At 42.2% G+C, this 22051-nt stretch overlaps 1 protein-coding gene, 1 long non-coding RNA gene and 2 pseudogenes across 7 annotated transcripts in view, besides 1 other annotated feature; all 4 read left to right on the top strand.

The window, feature by feature from the left end:
• The window catches only part of RIPOR2 (RHO family interacting cell polarization regulator 2), a 237885-nt gene that overhangs the window by 5212 nt on the left and 210622 nt on the right, over positions 1-22051 (top strand). The gene's annotated exons all lie outside the window — the stretch shown is intronic.
• Positions 816-22005, top strand: LOC102724765 (uncharacterized). 2 transcript variants are annotated; one of them, NR_187802.1, is made up of 3 exons: positions 816-975; positions 21122-21199; positions 21374-22005. It is a non-coding gene; the product is annotated as an uncharacterized LOC102724765 (long non-coding RNA). The 2 variants fall into 2 exon arrangements; NR_187803.1 differs by lacking the exon at positions 21122-21199.
• Positions 5670-5948, top strand: RN7SL334P (RNA, 7SL, cytoplasmic 334, pseudogene; annotated as a pseudogene).
• Positions 9266-9505: an enhancer, noted in NCBI's record as "active region_24162". NCBI's record gives its function as "activates an Ori minimal core promoter by ATAC-STARR-seq in GM12878 lymphoblastoid cells {active_cell/tissue: GM12878}" and the evidence as "EXISTENCE:reporter gene assay evidence [ECO:0000049][PMID:35858748]".
• Positions 12373-13948, top strand: ASS1P1 (argininosuccinate synthetase 1 pseudogene 1; annotated as a pseudogene).

Genomic DNA, 22051 nt, shown 5'->3' with positions numbered 1-22051 from the left:
ATACTGGAGAAGGCATCCCCATCTTCCTCAGCCAGGCACCCTACCCTCACATTCAGCTGGCTTACACCACACCACACAGGAGGCAACACAGATACACTAGGGAAAAACTGATCTTGGCCCCTAGGGGTGTGACTCCTGTTCTTCTGGGAAAATGGAGTGTTTGCCCCCACAGAGGATCTCCAGGCTATTTTCAGTACAAGTAAATGCAACCAGATGACAGAGCCCACTTGGAACTTGTTTCGCCTCTTTAAAAAGTTGAACTCTAGCCTAGCGTGGTGGCTTACACCTGTAATTCCAATGCTTTGGGAGGCTGAGGTGGGAGGATCACTCGAGGCCAGGAATTAGAGACCAGCCTGGCAACATAGCAAGATCCTGTCTCTATAAACATTTTTTTTTAAGTTAGTGGGCATGGTGGTGTGTGCCTGTAAACCCAGCTACTCAGGAGGCTGAGGCAGGAGGATTGATTGAACTTAGGAACTGGAGGTTACACTGAGCTATGATCATGCCACTGCACTCCAGCCTAGGTGACAGCGCAAATGCTGTCTCAAAAAACAAAACAAAACAAAACAAAAACCCGTTGAACTCTGTTAGGTAGAGCTTTGATGGAGGCAGCCACTGGTTAGCACTTTTTGTGGACTCCAATCAGAGGAATGGAAATGAGTTTTCTCTGTCCCACTGAAAAGACAACAGTGACAAAGCTGATATGCACTTGAGATTAGGGAATCTGCTGTCTCAGAGATACCACTGGCGACTTCCTCCCAGTGTCAATGTGACTTAATTGTCTTGTTCTGCTTCGCCGGCCATTCTCCTGACTCAGTGTGATGGCATTCTTAATTGTGACTGGGCAAGGGGACCTGGTCAAGCAGCAGTCTGAATCCCACAGACGATGCCCTGGACTGTGGTTGGGGCTGTGGGACTTCGAAGGAGGGCTCTCCTGTCTGCCACCATCCTGGGTTGACAATTCTACACAAGGAGGTAAGAACCCAGCTGGCTATTCCTCACTGCACGTGCAGCTCTGGAAGGCACTCTGATTCATAGAAACAGTCTTAGATTTTCTTCTAAATACCACTGTCTTCAGATGAGAACCTGAAGGCAAGATCTCAGGGAGACAGAGGGGCCCGGGATAGGAAGAATATGTGGGCACCTCTCCCACAGTCCTCCATCTGCACAAGGCTACCCACTCTGCAGATGGCCCCTGCTTGCAGAGAGATCCAGCGTCAATTTACAGAGCAGCCCAGCTTCCTATCAGCTTTCTGTCCTGGCTCACCTGTTATCTGGCAAGGGTCAGGCCTTGACCACACTCATGTTTCTCCCCCGGCCTCCTCCACTCTGGGATTTTGTACCGGTATGGGGAGGCACTACGGTTGCAGATTTAGCTTTTCAGCGTGGATACAAGCACCCAAGTGTCCCAGACCACAGCAGAAACCGTGTTGCTGCCGTTTCCAACCTGCTGATTTGGTCTCTTGCTGCCGTTCTGACCAACAGAATTGCTACTGACTGACAAATCCCTTGTGCTGCGATTTTAGGCTTCAGGCTGGGCTTCTCTGCTCTGAAGTGGAGAAGGATATACCAGGAAAATTCCTCTCTTGGTTTCTGTTTCTTTTAAGCTACAAGCTTAAAGATTTGAGAGGAGGTCAGTGAGGAGTTTACCCCAAGTATAAAAAAGAAAGAAACCTTTTAGAACATTCTGTATAATTCATAGGTCACATATTTTCCTGGGTTTCAGTCTAGACACCTGCTAAGTTTATCCATTAACAGCCTCATCCCAGACAACAGGCGGCTGGGCCCCACAAAGCCTGGGTTTCTCCCCAGTTCTGAATCTTGTTTACCAACAGCTCTGCCAATTACAGAGAATGCTTTTTGTTTTAGGGACCCTAGTGTTTATACTGGCATAAAAATTATTTATATACCTTCAAACATGTTGTTACCTATTTTCTCATCATTCAGAAGAATACTTGCTTCTGTAGAAGGCTTACCCTCTTCCTTCCTGCCTGAATGATTAAATCCATGGGTACAATTGCCAAATGTCCAATTCCAGTTTATACTGTCAAGGAAGAAAAATGATGGGAAACTGGAGAATGGAAGGTACTTTGAATAATTCAGGGAGGTCCGTTGGTTGAGAAAGTGCTCTCTTTGTATGTACATGATCTGGACAGATATTTTAGCTGTCTCCAGCCGAGGATGGACAAAAGAGAGGGTGTGGAGGGAAAAGGAAAGGAGAGGAAGAAGCAGCAAATACAAATACAGCTAACAAACATAAAAAAGAAAATGAAACCAGCAGAGGGATTAGAGAACTCAGAGCCTCGATGGATTCTGAAGTCTGTAATTCTCAGGTTGTTTGTTTGATGAAGGATCTAAAGAGCCCAAAAGTTAATCACTAGAATGATAACTTGGTCTCTGGTTGGTAACAGAAAATTACCAGAATAGCAAATTTTCTCAGAAGCATTAAGCTAGTGTATCAAGTTGGGGGTAAGGAGGATCTTAGGGAATGCAAAGCATCTTGAAATATGTTAGCCTAGATTCAACCCACTATGTGAGTACCAGTTTTTCCTCTGAAATAGCAAGATCCAAGAAATTGTTTCACTGCGTAAGAACATGTTAACTATATACACACCCCTTACCCCCTCCTACCCTACCCACCCCCCCAACAGTTGTCAAAACTGTAAACTTGGGCAGTAGCACTGAAAAATATGTCTTGATTTTGTTTTCATCTAATACAAAGCTAATATGCGCATGTTGTATAAAAATCAAACAATACAGAAACATACAACAGAGAGAAAGTCATCTAGAATTCCCAGCCCTCACCCCGTACAGCGTAGCACTCCCATTTCTTTTGTAAAATATACTAAATATATATATATATAAAACCTTTTTGTAGTTTGTTTTAAAACGTTACCAATTCTCTATACATTCAAAAATAAAATTAAATAAACAAGTATGAGAAAAAATGCAAATTGAATGCAAACAGAAACCAATGAACTGTATTTCAAATGAATAGCACAACTACATGGAAGAAAAAGAAAAGAATTAATCCAAGTAACATTTGAACACAATACTTTGGCTAAATATCCTCAGTCAAAAAACCAAAAAAAAGAGAATAAAATAATAAAAAAATCTTAAACTCTGTTTAGCAGATTTGTTTTTTGTAGACCACAGTTATAACAATTCTAAAACTATATTGTGTATTGTAGAACTAAGCAAACAAGTACCTACAGGATGTGTTGGGAGCCTGTAGGATGTGTTGGGAGTTCTCATTGTGGGAGAAGGCAGATACAAATATAAAATGAGTGAAGACAAAAAAGAATCCTATTTGTTGCCCTGGAATTAGAATAATCTAGACAGACAGACAGACACAGATACTTCCTAGCTCTGTCCACTAAAAGGATCTAGAAGCAGTAATACCCAATAGCAATGAGCAACTTAGTACCCAGATGTTGGTTTTTAAATATCACTCACACCAAATGGAATGAGGGCTTCTTGGAAAAATGCTGATACCAGGGCTGCAGCAGTTAAATTACAAGATGAGGCTGAAACACCTTGTGCCAGAAAATAAAGAAGTGCTCAAAAAATTAAGGGAATCTGTCAAAAGGACTGGGGAGCTGCCTTGGAGGGGCTTCTACTGGCAAAACTGGGACACTGTGAGCATCAAATAAACAATGATGTTAATAGATTATAGCCCATTAAGTTAAATATCCATTTTTTAAATGTTAAAAATAAGAGCTAAAACCATAAAACTTTTTTTTTTTTTTGAGATGAGATCTCATTGTGTCACCCAGGCGTGTGGCGCCGTCGCGGCTCACTGGAGCCTCACTGCAGCCTCGAACCCCTGGGATCAAGCCGTCTTCCTACCTCAGCCTCCCAAGCAGCTGGGACCACAGGAATGTGCCACCATGCCCGGCTAATTTTTAATTTTTTGTAGAGACAGAATCTTGCTCTGTTGCCCAGGCTGGTCTTGAACTTGTGGGCTCAAGCAATTTTCCCATCTTGGCCTCCCAAAGTGCTGAGCTAAATATATTTTTAAGTGGGATCAGAATAATACCATGTTCTACAACTTACTGTTTCATTTCACAACATAACTTGGGTACCTTTTTATGTCAATAAATAGCAATACATTTCTTCAAACAGGATCCATATACCCAAATCCAAATGAAAGCTTGTAGAGTTTGGGACACTTTAAGTGTATCTAATCTGAACCACTTAAATATTAAAAAATGATTATAATTGTAAAGCGGATTGTATTGGTTGGGAATTGAACCGTCCACGTACTTACTTATGGAGGCCTGATGTCTGTGACTCTCCAGCCATGCTGTGCTGCTCTTTCTGTTTCCAGCTGGAAACTGGGCTATTTTAAAGGTCAGGGTAATCGGGAGAAGGTATGCATATCTATTATCAAAAAACTATGCCTCACATACTCTTTGAAGGGGAGATCTTTTCATCCTCCACCAAACAGAGGGCGATTTGGAAAGAAGACCATTTCCAATCCCATCAAGGGTTGGCTCCAGGGGTGCCTGGTTTCTGAGGCACCAGAGAGGTTCTTGTGCTTGGGAGCAGGTGGCTTAGTTCTTATCTCCATTACAGGGTGGGATGGAAAGAGGCACACAAAGCCTGAGCCTGCAGAAAGAACCAGGCAATATCAAGAAAAACGGAGTCTGAGATACTTGCTAACACTTTGAATTGCTGCTGTCCAAAGCTTGTTCCCTGAGGTTTGTTACAAATTGAGTGAAATTAATCCAATCCTTCAATTTTCAAGCAAGTGAAAAAAAAAAAAACACCATAAAGGATTCGCTTGCTGATACCGCATCAAAGGGAGGACAGTAAATTCATGTAAGTGAGTCGGCAAAGAACCCCAAGAGCTCAGCTCTTCCCCTCTGGACCAAGGGAAACTTTACTCCTATTAGGATGGTTTGAAGGGGAGAGGGAGAGTACTCTTGAACTCATCAGAGAGTATGAAAGCAAGTGTATGGGTCTACAAGCAACCCTCTAAATGGCATAGGTGGTGAAGAAAATACATTAGATGTATTTTCAAATGTTTTCCAACATTTTATTATTAATACGTTTCACATATAGAAAAGTTGAAATAATTATACAGTGAATATACTAAATATATATATAACCTTTTTGTATTATATATAATATATATGTTCTATGGATATTATATATATTCTATGGATATCCATAGAATATATATATATTCTATGGATATTTTATATATATATATATATATATATATATATATATATATATATATATATATATAACTACCACCTACATCACATACCTAACCATATACCTATCTATCAATCCTTTGATAAATCTTATTTTTAATGCTTTAAAAATAAATTGCAGACATCTGTATACTTTATTCTAAACACTCATATATATGTATATATATATATATATCAGTCAATCTTTGTTCATAGTTTAAAAAAATTTTTAGTCATGTTTATTGAGGTGTAATTACATAGAGCACAGCATACTTTTTAGTGAGCAGTCCTATGAGTCTTGACAAACACCTATAGTCGTGTAACCACCACAACAATGAAGATATAGAAGAGTTCCATCACCCCAGACATTCCTTCATGCCCCTTTGGAGTCAATCCTTTTCCCCAGCTCTTGTCAACCAGTGATCTGTTTTCTGTCCTTATCATTTTGGCTTTTCCAGAATATCTCATAAGCCAGTTACAGTGGCACAGGCCTGTAGTCCCAGCTACTCGGGAGGATGGCTTGAGCCCAGGAGTTCTGGGGTATAGTGTGCTCTGCTGACCGGGTGTGTGCACTAAGTTTAACATCAATATGGTGACCTCCTGGGAGCGAGGGACCACCAGGTTGCCTAAGGAGAGGTGAACTGGCCCAGGTCAAACACAGAGCAGGTAAAAACTCCTGTACTGGTCAGTAGTGGGATCGTGCTTGTGAATAGCCACTACACTCCAGCCTGGGCAAGTGCAATTGCAAGACCCCGGCGCTGGGTGCAGTGGCTCACATCTGTAATCCCAGCATTTTGGGAGGCAGAGGTGGATGGATCACCTGAGGTCAGGAGTTCGAGACCAGTCTGAAAACACGGAGAAACCCCGCCTCTACTAAAAATACAAAATTAGCCGGGCATGGTGGTATATGCCTGTAATCCCAGCTACTTGCGAGGCTGAGGCATAAGAATCACTTGAACACAAGAGGCAGAGGTTGCAGTGAACCGAGATCACGCCATTGCACTCCAGCCTGGGCAACAAGAGCCAAACTCCGTCTCAAAGAAAACAAACAAACAACAACAACGAAAAACAGCAAGACCCTATGCCTTTTAAAAAAAAGCCAGAATATCTCATAAACAGAATCATACAGTATGTAGCCTTTTGAGTCTTGCTTCTTTCACTTAACATGATCCAAGATGTTGCATGCACATTTGTTCCTCTTCATTGCTGAGTAGTATCCCATTATTAGATGTATTCTTATAAAGTATAGTTATTTGCAAGTGGTAAGAACTCTAATCACCAAAAAGCATGAGTAAACATGATCATCAGAGGGGACAACCCCCAAGTTCTGGGGCACCCCAATTCTATCCATAGCTCTGGTCCTCTCTCAGGGGAAGCTCTGAGCAAACGAGGGACTCTGAACCCTCTGAATCCCACTCCACCTCATGTGTACCCTGGGAATATCATCAGTGGCAACTACGAAGGGACAGTTTATTCAATCAGCAGTAAATGATTATGATTCAGAATGTATTAGGCCAGTCGTCAACCCTACATTTTTTTCTTTGACATTGTATATGATTATACAACCTGTACAGAAAACAGAGATCTTTTCCCCCCATTTAAGACCTGCAGCCAGGCTGACACAGACAAGCAGAGGTAGGAGGATACAGAAGAACAAGGATGGGAGAGAGGGGAGAGACACTATAGTGGAGGCTGTAACGGTCCTGTCATGCTAAGACCAAGTTATGGAGGAACCACGAGTCCCACTAGGTTTGAAGAGCTTTCTGGCTGTCTAGTTCTCCCACTCCATTTTCTTTCCCTACCTTGAGTTAAAAGTGTGTTTTCAATCTAAAACAATAACATCCTGCACACAGAAGGGAAAGAGTGAAAGAATATCTTGATCTCTTAAGAAAAGCATATAGTTTAACTTCATGTTTTTAACCCAGCTTTTAACTGAGTAGCCCAGACATCATTATAATTCCCTCAAAGGACAAAAAAATCAATTTTCTTCTATTTCCCCACAGCAGTTACAAAATGAAGATATCTGGTTTTTTTAAGATGAGAAGCATAATCTTCAGGGTAAGGCTACATAGTTTTTTTCCTTCGCCCTCACTCCCAGTGCTGTCTCTATTTCTGTGTCATCTGAGAAGTGATGTGGGGCACGGAGGGTCCCAGCTCAGGGTATGGGACTTGCTTCCTGGTCTTGCCCCTGCTCATCTGTGAGGCATCAGTCAGACCACTCACTCTCTCGGTACAGTCAATACATGAACATTCCTTTGTGTCCAGGCCAGAGTTTGTTCTTGGTTTCCTATCCACCCCTTTTTTCATTACTTCTTCTTCTTTTTTTTTTTTTTTTTTTTTTCTTTTTTGAGACGGAGTCTCGCTCTGTCGTCCAGGTTGGAGTGCAGCGGCGCGATCTCGGCTCACTGCAGCAAGCTCCGCCTCCCGGGTTCACGCCATTCTCCTGCCTTAGCCTCCCAAGTAGCTGGGATGGAGTCTTGCTCTGTCGCCAGGCTGGAGTGCAGTGTCGCGATCTCGGCTCACTGCAACCTCCACCTCCCGAGTTCAAGCCATTCTCTTGCCTCAGCCTCCCGAGTACTTGGGACTACAGATGCGCGCCACCATGCCCGGCTAATTTTTTGTGTTTTTAGTAGAGACGGGGTTTCACCATGTTGGCCAGGATGGTCTCGATCTCTTGAATTCATGATCCACCTGCCTCGGCCTCCCAAATTGCTAGGATTACAGGCGTGAGCCACCATACCCGGCCCTCGTCATTTCTTTGAGGGCACCCTCTCCCAGCACTCTGCTGCCTCCAGTTGTACTGAACAATGGTGCCTTCTCTCAGTCCTAGACAGAGCTCCATTCTCAGGGCCTTTCCTTACCTCATCCCACATCAAATCAGATCCACTATTCCCCATACTTTCCCACCCTGGTGTGGACCAGATGAAGGGCCCTAATGTGTCAACCTGATAAAATTGATTAAAACTTCACATTCTTAGTGGTGGAAGTGATTTCACATGCATTATCTCATTGGAGACTCACAACTACCCTGAGGAGCTAGAAGGATCTGTACTATCCCTGCCCCCCAATTTTTTTCTTATGTGGAAACTGAAGCTCAGAGAGAAAGGAGTAAGACAGTACATCTGTCATTTATTTGGGGTAGTATTAGTATCAGGCATTGTGCCAGCTCCCCTATTGGGCATTATTTCACTTAATCCTCAGTCCAACCCTATGAGGTTGGTAATTGTATCCATTTTGCAAATGAGGAGGCTGAGGCTCAGAGAAGTTAAAGGACTTATTAAAAGTCACAGGCCACAGTGTGGCAGAACAGAGCCAACATTCAGACACATGTGTACAAGTCCAGAGCGGGTTTTCACTGCTGGAACTAGGACTCAAGCTCAAATCAATCAACTCCTAATTTTATGGTTCTTCCAGTGGCCACCCTCTCTATTCAGAAAATGCACCCTACCACCTATCCCCAAATCTCAAAACATGGGCCCGGTTGAAATGCACACAGCTCTGGGAGTCTCCTAGAGGCAGAACAAGGGCTGGCGATGTCTGAGGGCAGCTAAGGAGATATTTGGAAATCTACTGGAAACTGCATCTTCCTGCGCTGTGCTAGATGTCCAGGTATCTGAGAATACAGTGAAGGAAAATTAACCGAATGTTCAAATCTCTACAGAATGCCTAGCTTGAGTCCCTGAATACTTTTTTATGCAGGACGAGGGTGGTAGGGGCCACTCAGAAAGAAATCTGAACACGCAGAACCCTCGGGCTTAGAGCTGTTAGGGGTCATAGGCAGCCAGCTCACTTCCAGCGGACAGTGCCCACTCCCCTTTCTTCTCAGAGCCCAGCCAAGAAGGATGGCTCAGCGGCCCGACTGGAGCACCTCTGCCCTCCTCGGCTCCTGGGCGTGTCTCCGGGGATTCCTGTTCGGTGATGCCCTGACCCACGGAACTTGCCTCTTCCCTCTTGTTCAGTCGGTTTACCAACCTGGGGGCGTCTGCGGATCAAGGTGTTTGAGAGGCTGGGCTGAGGTAGAGAAGAGGGTGGGGCAGGAGCACCTAAGTCGCTCAGGGATTTGGTGACTCACACGAGGGGAGGGGGGCCCTCTTTCTCCCCAGCACTGGGGGCGCCCAAGGCTGTTCCCATGCTTAGCAGAAGATGCCCCTCTCATCCCCCAAGGGGCCTGCTCGGAGTGTGCCACCTGCAGCATGGCCACCACGAGGCCGGTTATGTATTTATTTCCTGGCAGAGCTGAACCCCAAACGCTTTTCCTTCTGTGCCGTGCGTGAAAGAAACAGAAACCGCTGCACAGCATGTCTATGTTTATACCCTGGGCCCTGACCCTCCCACAGAGGCCAGCTCGTAGACTTTTCTTTCGCAGCCTGGGGATGGGTTTGTACTTCACCCTCGAGCGCCTCCCCCTGGGAACCCGCAGAGGGCTGGGTGGCTGTGCAGTCCTGTGTGCTAAGTGCTTTTCTTCGCTTCTCGATGCTTGGGCCGTCTTGTAAGCAAAGCTAGGTGAATCGAATCCACCCCTACGCGATTGTCGTTTGCATTAAGTAAGATAATGCACGTGGAAATATTTTGTGAGCTATGCAGTATCACCTAAATTATTTTTTATTATTATTTTAAAAATAGAATGCATCAGCAAGTTCTTAATGAGCTTGCTTTTTTGTTTTAATATTTGGAAATTGGAACAGCTACTTATAGGAGACTTGTAGATCCCAGAATGTGCCGTTTGCCTGAGTGGTTTCTTTTGGCCTTGCTGTGTCAGGACTTGTGAGGCTTGTGAGGTGATGTCAGCAAATCAGCACAGACTCACACCTGAGGAGCCCGGGAGTGGTCTAGGGCCTGTGGAGCATGGCAGAGTGGCCTCTTCTCAGCCTCCTCTCCACTGGAGGGCACTTGAGTTATTATTTATTTCCCCCAGGCCTCAGCCTCTTAGCTCCTGCCAACTTCCTTTCAGAGGCATTCCTGCCATATGTCCCAAGATTTTCCTCTGTTTACCTCCTTTAAAGTTGTCATGGTCTTGAATTTTAGACCACCGTAATCTCCGTTTGACAATGAATGGTCATAAATTCAAAGAAATTGCAGGACTCTTATTCTGAAATTCATATAAATGATTTCTTTATAAGTACACATAAAACTCTTTTCTCTTAAAATATACAGAAAAAGAAAAATGTACAGCTGCTCAGGGTAACAAAGTATTGCCTTCTAGAAATTCTCAGGCTTCTTGTCTTTAAGGATAAACAGGAAGCATTTCTAATTAGTGTCTTGGTTGTTTGCATATTGAGCTTCCAAAATGCTTTAGAAGGTTCATCTTTTCAATCCGCCCTTCGCAGTCCTTTATTTTTCATTTGCTAAGCAGAGGTAAACTTAAAACCATCTCTATGTGACTTATCATAAATCCCAATCAGTGAGACCTCAAATAATGAACTTGGCTCTCATTTATACACGTGACAAAAGGTATACCTATATAAATATCTAATAAAAACTACCTAACAGCTAAATACAACAAAGAGAAGCAATTTTCCTCTCTTTTTCACCCAATGGCTCTAATTAATCATGCAGTACAGAAAAATAAGAAACCTTTTATGTAGCTTTTAGTGGTTTTGTTCATTCTAGTTTCCACCTGTGAGTAGCATTCATTTATAAACCTGTCTTGCTGAGCACAGTGCTTTCAAAAATGACTTGCTTGTGACTCAGAAACAAAAAAAAAAAACAACAATCTTTGTAACTTTTAATCTCATGCAATTTCTTCAGTTTCTTTTGTTGGTGAATACACGTACAATTTGGTTTTGAAATACCATGTATCAAAGCACAAACAAATCATCCCTTGGAGTCGTGAAGAAGCTCATCAATGTATCACAGTCTTCCAGTCAAGCCCATAATTCAGTCTCCTACAGCTCTGATTCTTGACCTCTAAGAAAACCCACCCTCTTACTCTTCCTGAACAATTGCTCACTAGAGCACTAAGTGAAGGGAAAGATTGCTCCTTAAAGTGAAAAAACAATGTTTTCCAAAGTTGTGTTGAATATGCATAGTCATCATATCACAGGAAGTTTTTCTTTTAAACCTTATGTGCATTTTCTTTAATTTGTATGGTTTTCTCAAGTTCAACATTCAGTTTTCGTTTTAATCAGTTATATTCTAAAAACAATTAAATTTTTTTCTCCTTAGAAATTCACTTTAAATTAAAAAGAACTTTTGTTTTTCTCTTTTTAAGGCACAAATAGTGCTGGGAGGGGGTGAGGGTAAACTTCTTTATCTGTCACTGTCATTTTTTTTTAAAGGTCCTATTGCTTTTACACTTCTAACCCTAAAAAAGCCTCGTCACGCACCCAGCATTCCCCTAGCTCTGGGCTTCCAGAGCACTGTTATTCAACAGAGAGTTTCTATAGAAATCCAAAGTACTATCTCCAAATAGCAGAAACCGTAACACCACAGACACTTATTAGAATTTGTGTGGAAGAATCCTAAAGCTAAATAAATAGAAGCTTCTAAATTACCTTTTTCCCCCCTTGACTATATCTTAGATCAAATTTTTAGAACTCCCACCACCCACATGTACACCAGGACCTGTGGGTGGGAGCAGGCGTGAGACAGAGAGGGCTTCCTGTTACCATTAAATGAATAAAGAGACCGCTACATATCAAACTCTGTCCTCTCTTTTTTTCTTGACTCTTCTTCCCTCCATTTAGTGTGAATATTTGAAGTTAAACTGGGCATGGCCCCACATGTCTGATTACTCACCCATCGACATCCAACCTGAAGTCACAAATTTGGCTTCAGAGAATGTTGTGGAGCTGAAAGGATGGCAACTTCAATTTTCAATAAATAACTAGAAACAGAGAAAATAGCTTTCCAAGTCATCAAAGAAAACCCATGGTGAGAAGGATATTAATGGATTAAAACAGGCATAAAGAGGAAACTGAAGGCAAAGCATTGGCAAAATCTAGAAATGATTATCAGCTTCAGCTAAGTCCGATACTCACCAGCTCCAAGGACAGAGTAGGGAAGCATCAGTTACAAGTTAGGAGAAACAGCACTGCAGTATTGTCGGGGAGCAAGGTGAGGGCTTTCCTTCCTCTTTGAGGGTCAGTTGTCAGTCTGGGGCCACACTGCTTCCAGAAGGGCACAGAACTGGAAACCTTTAACAATGGTTAAAAAATCTGACTGCTCTTGTTCTGTCGCCTGCCACTGCTGCCTGAGCCCGAGTGGTTCACTGCACCCTGAAGACAGATTCCAGACGCTGGGAACTCGCGCCTCCAATCCCAGACACTATGTCCAGCAAAGGCTCCATGAGAGTTCTGGCCTATGGTGGCGGCCTGGACACCTCCTGCATCCTCGTGTGGGTGAAGGAACAAGGCTATGATGTCATTGCCTACCTGGCCAACACTGGCCAGAAGGAAGACTTCGAGGAAGCCAGGAAGAAGGCACTGAAACTTGGGGCCAAAAAGGTGTTCATTGAGGATGTCATCAGGGAGTTTGTGGAAGAGTTCATCTGGCCGGCCATCCAGTCCAGCACACTGTATGAGGACCGCTACCTCCTGGGCACCTTTCTCGCCAGGCCCTGCATTGCCAGCAAACAAGTGGAAATCGCCCAGCAGGAGGGGGTGTCCCGCGGCGCCACCGGTAAGGGGAATATCAGGTCCGGTTTGAGCTCACCTGGTACTCGCTGGTCCCCCAGATAAAGGGCACTGCTCCCTGGAGGATGCCCGAGTTCTACAACCGGTTCAAGGGCCGTAATGACCTGATGGAATACGCAAAGCAGCACGGGATTCCTATCCCGGTCACTCCCAAGAACCCGTGGAACATGGACGAGAACCTCATGCACATCAGCTACGAGGCTGGAATCCTGGAGAACCCCAAGAACCAAGTGCCTCCAGGTCTCTACACGAAGACCTAGGAACCGGTCAAAGCCCCCAACACCCCTGACATCCTCGAGATCGAGTTAAAAAAGGGGTCCCCGTGAAGGTGACCAACGTCAACGATGGCTCCACCCACCCGACCTCCTTGGAGTTCTTCATGTACCTGAACGAAGTCGCGGACAAACACGGTGTGGGCTGTACTGACATCGTGGAGAACCGCTTCACTGGAATGAAGTCCCGAGGTATCTATGAGACCCCAGCAGGCACCATCCTTTACCACACTCATTTAGACATCAAGGCCTTCACCATGGACTGGGAGGTGTGCAAAATCAAACAAGGCCTGGGCTTGAAATTTGCTGAGCTGGTGTACACCGCTTTCTGGCATAGCCCTGAGTGTGAATTTGTCCGCCACTGCATCGCCAAGTCCTAGGGGCAAGTGGGAGGGAAAGCGCAGGTGTCCGTCCTCAAGGGCCGGGTGTACATCCTTGGCTGGGAGTCCCCACTCTCTCCCTACAACGAGGAGCCGGTGAGCATGAACGTGTAGGGTGATTATGAGCCAATTGATGCCACCGGGTTCATCAACATCAATTCCCTCAGGCTGAAGGAATAGGAATATCATCGTCTGCAGAGCAAGGTCACTGCCAAATAGACCCCTGTACAATGAGGAGCTGGAGCCTCCTCAATTTGCAGATCCCCCAAGTACAGGCGCTAATTGTTGTGATAATTTGTAATTGTGACTTGTTCTTCCCGGCTGGCAGCGTAGTGGGGCTACCAGGCCCCAGCTTTGTTCCCTGGTCCCCTGAAGCCTGCAAACGTCGTCATTAAAGGGAAGGGTGGGGGGCAGCTGTGGTGGGTAGCTATTAAATGACAATTAAAAGATACACTAGTAAAAAAAAAAATTGACTGCTCTGAAAACGAGTCTACTGGGCAGTGACATTCACATTTCTGAAATTAATGCATACTCTATTTGCATTTTCTCTTTTTCCTGTCTTCACCTGTCTTTGACAATTAGTAAATAAATCCCTAAACCTTATAAATATTATTTTGGGCTAGCCATGGTTGCACCATCATGTTTGTAATCCCAAAACTTTGGGAGATGGTGGGGAGAGGACTGCTTGAGCCCATGAGTTCAAGACCAGCCTGGACAACATAGTGGGACTCTATCTCTACAAAACAATCAAAAAATTAGCTGGGGTGGTGGCACACACCTGTAGTCTAGCTACTCAGGAGGCTGAGGTGGGAGGATAGTTTGAGCCCAGGAGTTTGAGGCTGCAGTGAGCCATGAACACAACCCACTCCAGCCTGGGTGACAGAACAAGAACCTGTCTAAAAAAAAAAAAAAAAAAAAAAAAAAAAAAAAAAAATGGAAGGTACCACATTAGTTATATGTGTTACGTTAAAAAGAAATATTTGTCCTTTACTTATGAATTAATGATTAAGCAAACTGTAGGTATATCCATACAATGAGATATGACTCAGCAATAAAAATGAATGAACTGAGGCATGCAACCACATGGATTATTCTCAAATGCATTATCCTAAGTGAAAGAAGCCAGACTCAAAAGCCTACATACTGTATGATACCACTCATAAGACAGTCTGGAAAAGACAAAACTATTAGGACAGAAAGCGAATCATTGGTTGCCAAGGGCTGGTTAGAGAGGTTGACTACGGAGGCATGAGGAAACTTTTTTCATATGATGTAACTCTTCTGTATCTTGATTGTGGTGGTGGTTACACTACTGTATACATTTGTTAAAACTGGTAGAACTATGCACTAAAAAGGGCTAATTTTACTCCATGTAAATTATACCTAAAAACAAATGTATCTAATCCCATCAAAGTGATGGGTTCATTTCTACATAATTACAGACCATTTTTTTTAAGTTTAATGTTTATCTTTCCCTTGGCACCAAGTTTCTCTTATAAACCAATTACTTGATCTGAAGCATTAAGGAATTTAGGAATGTTTCATGTAATAGGGTGGATTTCAATCTGGTCTCTCACTGACTCAGACTATAGACAAACTCCTCAGCTAAATGTTGGGACCCTCCACAGTCTTGTCACATTTGCCACAAATTTAATTTCCTTTTTTTAAAAGATCTTTTTAATTCTATAGGTTTTTTGGGAACAGGTGGGATTTAGTTACATAAGTAAGTTCTTTAGTGGTGATTTGTGAGATTTTGACCCATCAATCGAGGAGTATACACTGAGCCCAATTTGCAGTCTTTTATCCCTCACCCCCTTCCCACCCTTTCCCTCTGAATCCCCAGAGTTCTTTGTGTCTTTCTTATGCCTTTGCATCCTCATAGCTTAGCTCCCACTTATGAGTGAGAACATACAATGTTTGGTTTTCCATTCCTGAGTTACTTCACTTAGAATAATAGTCTCCAATCTCACCCAGGTCACTGTGAATGCCATTAAGTCATTCCTTTTTATAGCTGAGTAGTATTCCATCGTGAATGTATACCACAATTTCTTTATCCACTCATTGATCGATGGGCATTTGGGTGCCACAGCCTTAATTTCTATAATCCCCTTGCATCATCCTTCTTCTTAGAGCTGGTCTCCTCACTGCCTCTAGCACTCAAAGCTCATACCTTTTTTCATATAGTCACCCTGTCCAGAAATGCATTCCTTCTCCCTTTCTTCTGCCTCCTCCTCATCTCAGTTCTATCATCAATAAATACTCACGAAATGAGCACTGTCCTATATGCAAAGGAAATAAAGATTAAACTAGCTGGATGCAGTGGCTCACACCTGTAATCCCAGCACTTTGGGAGGCCGAGGTGGGTGGATCACCTGAGGTCAGGAGTTCGAGACCAGCCTGGCCAACACAGTGAAACCCCTTCTCTACTAAAAATACAAAAAAATTAGCCAGGCATTGTAGTGGGCACCTGTAATCCCAGCTACTTGGGAGGCTGAGGCAGGAGAATCATTTGAACCCAGAAGACGGAGGTTGCCGTGGGCCAAGATCACGCCACTGCACTCTAGCCTGGGCAACAGAGAGAGACTCCGTCTAAAAAAAGAAAAGAAAAGAAAAAAATTAAACTAGACATGAACCTTGTCCCCAAAGAGCTTCCAGGAAATAGAACTTATAATAGCATGTTAAAAGTTGTTTTGACAATATTATTTGTGAATTTTATTTTCTTTTATCTCATTGGGGCTATCTAATTTTGGACATTGAATACCTGTTTGGTAATAAGAGGGGAAGGCAGAGATTAAGGATTAATAAATGGTTTGGACTAGAGGTTTTCAGACTTTTGGAAGTGACAACTAGACATTAGGATATCAAAAATCAGAAATTGCCAGTATCAGAAAGGAACTGGTGGGTGGAGATACCTTGTGGAATCTCATTACAAATGGCAGATACATCCATCTTAATCTATGTTGATGCTCTCATTCACAGTAAGAATCAAGATGAATATCACATTGACTTATTGGATAGTACAGGGAAAATTTACTCTTGGAGAAGCCTAATTAATTGCAATGAGCAGATTCTAGAAGGAAAAATATAACCTATCTCAGGAAGGCTCCTGCATGTTTTATTTCAAATCCTGCTTAGTTCTGTTTTCATTCTCTAACTAAATCAGAAGGATCATTTGGCTGAGGGAAAAGTGTTCTTTTTTTTCTTGCACAATTTTCACTAACACATAAGGAGACATTCTACTTGTTTATTATAAATGACTTACTTGGTTTATTATTCCAACAATAGCAAATTAACATTGTCCAGAAAAACCTTTAATACTAGCTGATTTTTAATAAGACATATTGTGATACATAATACTGGAAATAATTTTTAAAGTAAAGAACTATACAAATGAGACATAAAAATATCCTGTAATCCCACTATCCAGATATAACTATTAATATTTTGAAGTATGACTTCCTAGTCTTTTGTTTATATACATATTATATATAATAGCTGGGATCACACCATGTATTCAGTTTTGGTAGTCTTCTTTCAATTAATGTAATATAAAAAATCCCCATGATAACAAGAATTCTTCAAAAAACTGGATTTTTAATATGGTAGCTACAGTATATTATCATACTTATTGACATCTTTTTCTTTTTTCTTTTTCTTTCTTTCTTTTCTTTTTTTTTTTTTTTTTTTTTTTTGAGACAGAGTCTTGCTCTGTTGCCCAGGCTGGAATGCAGTGGCACGATCTTGGCTCACTACAACCTCCGCCTCCCAGGTCCAAGTGATTCTCCTGCCTCAGCCTCCCAAGTAGCCAGGACTTACAGGCACGTGCCACCACGCCCGGCTAACTTTTTGTATTTTTAGTAGAGAGGGGTTTTTTTTTTACCGTGTTAGCCAGGATGGTCTCGATCTCCTGACCTCGTGATCCACCCGCCTCAGCCTCCCAGAGTGCTGGGATTACAGGCGTGAGCCACCGCGCCCCGCCGACCTCTCTTTCTAACTTTTCACTAGAATTAATATCTTTATACAATTATTAGCTATGTTCCTGATTATTTTCATAGAAAAGGCTGCTTTATGTTTGATCCTAGAGTATAAATCAAAGGGCATACGTTTTTTAAGGCTCCTAATACATATTGCTAAATCGCCTTCCTTGAGAGTGGTAATAATTTCTCCTGAGAACATTACAGTATGCCTGCTTTCTTAACAACTATGCCACATATTAGAGTATTTATGTTAAAAACATATGCATTTGTCAAATGTGGGACCATCTGGGCATCAACAAGAATAATGCTTGCAATAGATTAAAATACATCAAATATAAAAATCTATGAATTCCTAATGAAACACAAAACATCACTGCTCACCTTTGAAGGTTGCCGGACACTATTTTGTTATTCTAAATATATATTTTAAAGAGATTGATCACATATTTGTTCTTTCTTTTCTGTTTGAACTGTATTTCAAGCTAACTAAATAGATGATGAGAAAATCCCAGCTAATAGGTATATGAGTAACAATAAAACTTATACCATCACTATTTTGCAGTCCTCATGAAACAATGGATGGAGACAATGATCATCAATAGATATCCAAACTCTCAATGAAAAGTTATTGGGGAACTTTATAATAGAGGATTCCAACTGACATTACCTCTACCCACAAATCAATCTTAATATCATGATAAGTAGGACAGCTAGGCACGTGCTTCAGGATTTGATTAATATAGCATCATAGAGTATCACCTATTATCTTGCCAAAAATAGAACTGGGATTTAATAAAATCTAATCGAGATCTTACTACTAGTTTATAGGAAATGTAAGGAATACAAACAAGTTAAACATATTGGAGGAAGCAATTCGCGCAAACCAAAATGTGGAAAATTCTACAGGGCAAGTGATAAATTTTTTTAATAAATAAATACATTGTGTTTGTTGGAAGGGGTGAGGGGTATAATCAAACAATTGGTTAAGGAGCGTTCTATATAGAAAAAACATCTGCTTTTAAAAAATGGAGAAAGAAAAACTGGATAATAAAATCTTATTTATTACCTATTTGAAATCTAATAGTATTCAATGAATATCATATACAAACTCTTTTTTGGTGGTAGATTATTCTGTATATGAGTGGGTTTGCTTCTGTCAAAATTTAAAACATTTTCTTTATGTTTCTGATTTTCCAAGAGGAACGTATTTCAGTTTGCTCTTTTCATGTAAAGCATTAGGAAGAAGTCTTCTGAGCTAGCCAAGATACTGCGTTTGAAATTGCAAGGTCAGTTCAGGCACTCTGGGTAGTAACCATCAGGTGGCGCCGCTCTACAGCTTTTCTAAACCCAACATGAAACCCTTCAGACTTTGAAATAAGCAAGGAGGTAAGAGCAGTCACAGGAAACTGATACAGTCACCAAATACTTAAGCTCAATGCTATGGCTTTCCTAGGTGATATTACGAAATTGCTTGTATTTCTATGTTCATCCTACCTGTTGTCATCCCTCAGTACTTAGAGATTTTAAGCAGAAACGTGTTTTAACTATTCTACTAAGAACCAAAATATCAATGTTGAACTTCCAAGAGAATATTTCTGTCATAGGTGTCCTGAAGACTTTACAGAACTTTTCATTTTCCTTTTGAAACCAATGCAAGCCCACTGGGCTGTGCCAGGGTCCACACTCCCTCACTTTGCTGATTCCTGCATTCCCATCTGTCAAAAAACTGTTGTGAGCTAACCTGAGCTCCCACACCGCAGCTACCACTCTCCTGGGTCAAAATACAAGAACAGTGAATCACAACCTGGCCCTCTGGGCGTTTACCACTTGGTTACTCCTGAACAAATTAGAGAACAAGTAAGAACTAAAACTGAAGGGCACTGAATAGGGGTGATAGGCGTGGCCAGGTGAGACCAGAGGGCCGGAAGGACTTTGTGGAAGAGGGGACACCTGAATTAAGTCTTAAAGAAATGGGTTGATTTGAATACATACCAAAAGTAAGAAAATCTGGGGAGCATCAGCAAATGTGTGCATAAACTGCGAACTCAAAGCCTGTAAGCAGGCAACAGAAAAAAGCAGGCGATCTAGATGTAAGACAGTAAAAATGGGGGAGGACTGTGGCAAACAACCGAGCTTTTGCTCTGCCTAAATGGCATTTATGCCATTTTTCTTTTGAGACAGAGTCTGTCACCCAGGCTGGAGTGCAGTGGCGCAATCTCAGTTCAGTGCAACCTTTGCCTCCTGGGTTCAAGTGATTTTCGTGCCTCAGCCTCCCAAGTAACGGGGATTACCTGGCTAATTTTTGTATTTTTAGTAGAGATGGGGTTTCACCATGTTGGCCAGGCTGGTCTTGAACTCCTGACCTCAGGTGATCCACCCGTCTCAGCCTCCCAAAGTGCTGGGATTACAGGCGTGAGCCACCGTGCCGGTGCCACTTCTTTTAACACTGTTCCAGTCCCTACCTCCCCACAAAGTGTCTGCCAGCTGGCTGCATGCTGGTTTGCAATCTCTGGGAGAGGCTGGCTACTTTCTTTAGATCTTTTGTTTCCCTATGTTATCAACTTACCATGTCTAAGTGAAGCACCCAGAATGTGAATCCCCTAGAAGATATATACAATGAGAGGATCTTTCTCCCTAGGTTTTATTCCTGGAAATTTTTAGAAACCCAGAACTAAAATTGGAATTAATAAATTTTTCTAATTATGAGATAGAAAAGCAGAAGTAACAAGAGTTTGAAATTTTAATGTCAGAACTTTTTTGAAGAATGTTCATAATTATAGCAAGGGAAGAAGTGATGAATCAGTTAAGGGAACTTTATTATCGCCAGACACAAGACTTTTGTTGTGTGTTGCTTGTGACGCTAACTCCATCTCTAGTTACTTAATGTTCCCAGATTCGTGACTATTTTGTCATTCAAAGATCAAACATTTCATTTTCCTTCCTTCTCTTTCCTCTTAGGTGTTTCAGCAGCAATTAAGTCATGCTGTGGAATGCTTAAGTGCAGTAACAAATGTCATGAAAACTGAACATACAGCTAATTTTACTTCTCATGAATAGAGTTCCTGTGGTTTCACTTCAAGACTAATGGAGGGGATGCATTCCATCCTTATTCTCTACTTTAAATCGCTGAGATTAGCTTCAGGGATCCAGCTTCCATTCAGCCTAAATTTTTCAACATTGTGGGCTTATTCCATATAGTTCTGATCTCTTGTTGATGCCCTGGGCCTCAGGAACTACTGGAATGAATTGTTATTTTTTATTCATTTTTAGAACTGCATTTTTAGGACGGGGAGTGGTGGCTTATGCCTTAATCCCAGCACTTTGGGAGCCCGAGGCGGGTGAATCACCTAAGGTCAGGAGTTCGAGACCAGCCTGGCCAACATAGTGAAACCCCCGTGTCTACTAAAAATACAAAAAAATTAGCTAGGCATGATGGCGCCTGCCTGTAGTCCCAGCTACTCCGGAAGCTGAGGCAGGAGAATGGCTTGAACCCAGGAGGTGGAGGTTGCAGTGAGCCGAGATCATGCCATTGCACTCCAGCCTAGGTGACAGAGTAAGACTCCTTAAAAAAAAAAAAAAAAAAAAAAAAAAAACCAAAAAACCTGCGTTTTTAAGGGGAGGCTTTCCAACCATGATTAACTTCATTTTCTGTAGGTCCATGAAAGACCTCCTCCTCCTTCTCCACCTCCCTCTACAATATATGAGTATTTTCTCCACCTCCCTCTACAATATGTAAGTATCCTACCAAACCTCCATGAAAAGGTAAAGAAATGTACTTTGGAAGGAATAAGCAGGAGAGGGACTTCCTTTATTTCCCAATTACTATAATACTATTTGGCATCAGTTAGTAAACAGGGTTTGAAAAGGAAATGAGGATTTGGTAAAAGTGACTGAATTGTCCCACAGTTTTTACAGAGTCAAGAGGATCCTATGAATTTCCCACTGGGTTAAAAATATGACACAATCCAAGGAGACAGCATACCCAGTAGTGCCGTGTAGACTGTCGTAAACACCGTTTCACCAGGCTGCACAGATGATGCTGCTCTTCCCTTCACCTCCCATCCTGTCGAAAAGGTTTTGTTATTTTGTGCTCATTTCAGAAGCTGATGTGTAAATGGTGTGTATTTCTGTTGCCATGACAACCCAGCAGCAATTGGCCTGGGCTTCTTACCAGAGTACAAATGTGCTCTTGACACGATGCTTATCAGACTTTGCCAGACAATTTTCCCTCCTGGATTCACACAAAAGGTTTCGAAGACTCCTAACTGCATTTAGAGGAGAGACAGGCTGAAATTTCGCACTTGGCTCACATGAATGATGAAGCTCTAAAGCTCTGATCCCCTGCTGAAGTCATCGTGTTCTAGTCTATCATTTCAGTACTCTGGGGGCAACTCTGTATAATTAAAGAGGACCAAGTATAAATGTGGCAAAAAAATCTTGCTGGCTACCAGAACTGGGCTTTTGTTGATGTTTCATGTGACACATAACTGTCTCTGCATTTAATAAAAGGTCACTGTGACTGCCTATGTTCTTATTCATATTTTGGCTCGTCAAATTTGTGTGTAGGTGCCATACCAAGAGAAA

The sequence above is a fragment of the Homo sapiens genome, chromosome 6 (genome assembly GCF_000001405.40).
Source record: "Homo sapiens chromosome 6, GRCh38.p14 Primary Assembly".
NCBI lineage: Eukaryota > Metazoa > Chordata > Mammalia > Primates > Hominidae > Homo > Homo sapiens.
The sequence above is the reverse complement of the archived record's forward strand: the minus strand, read 5'-3'. Positions and strand labels throughout refer to the sequence as shown.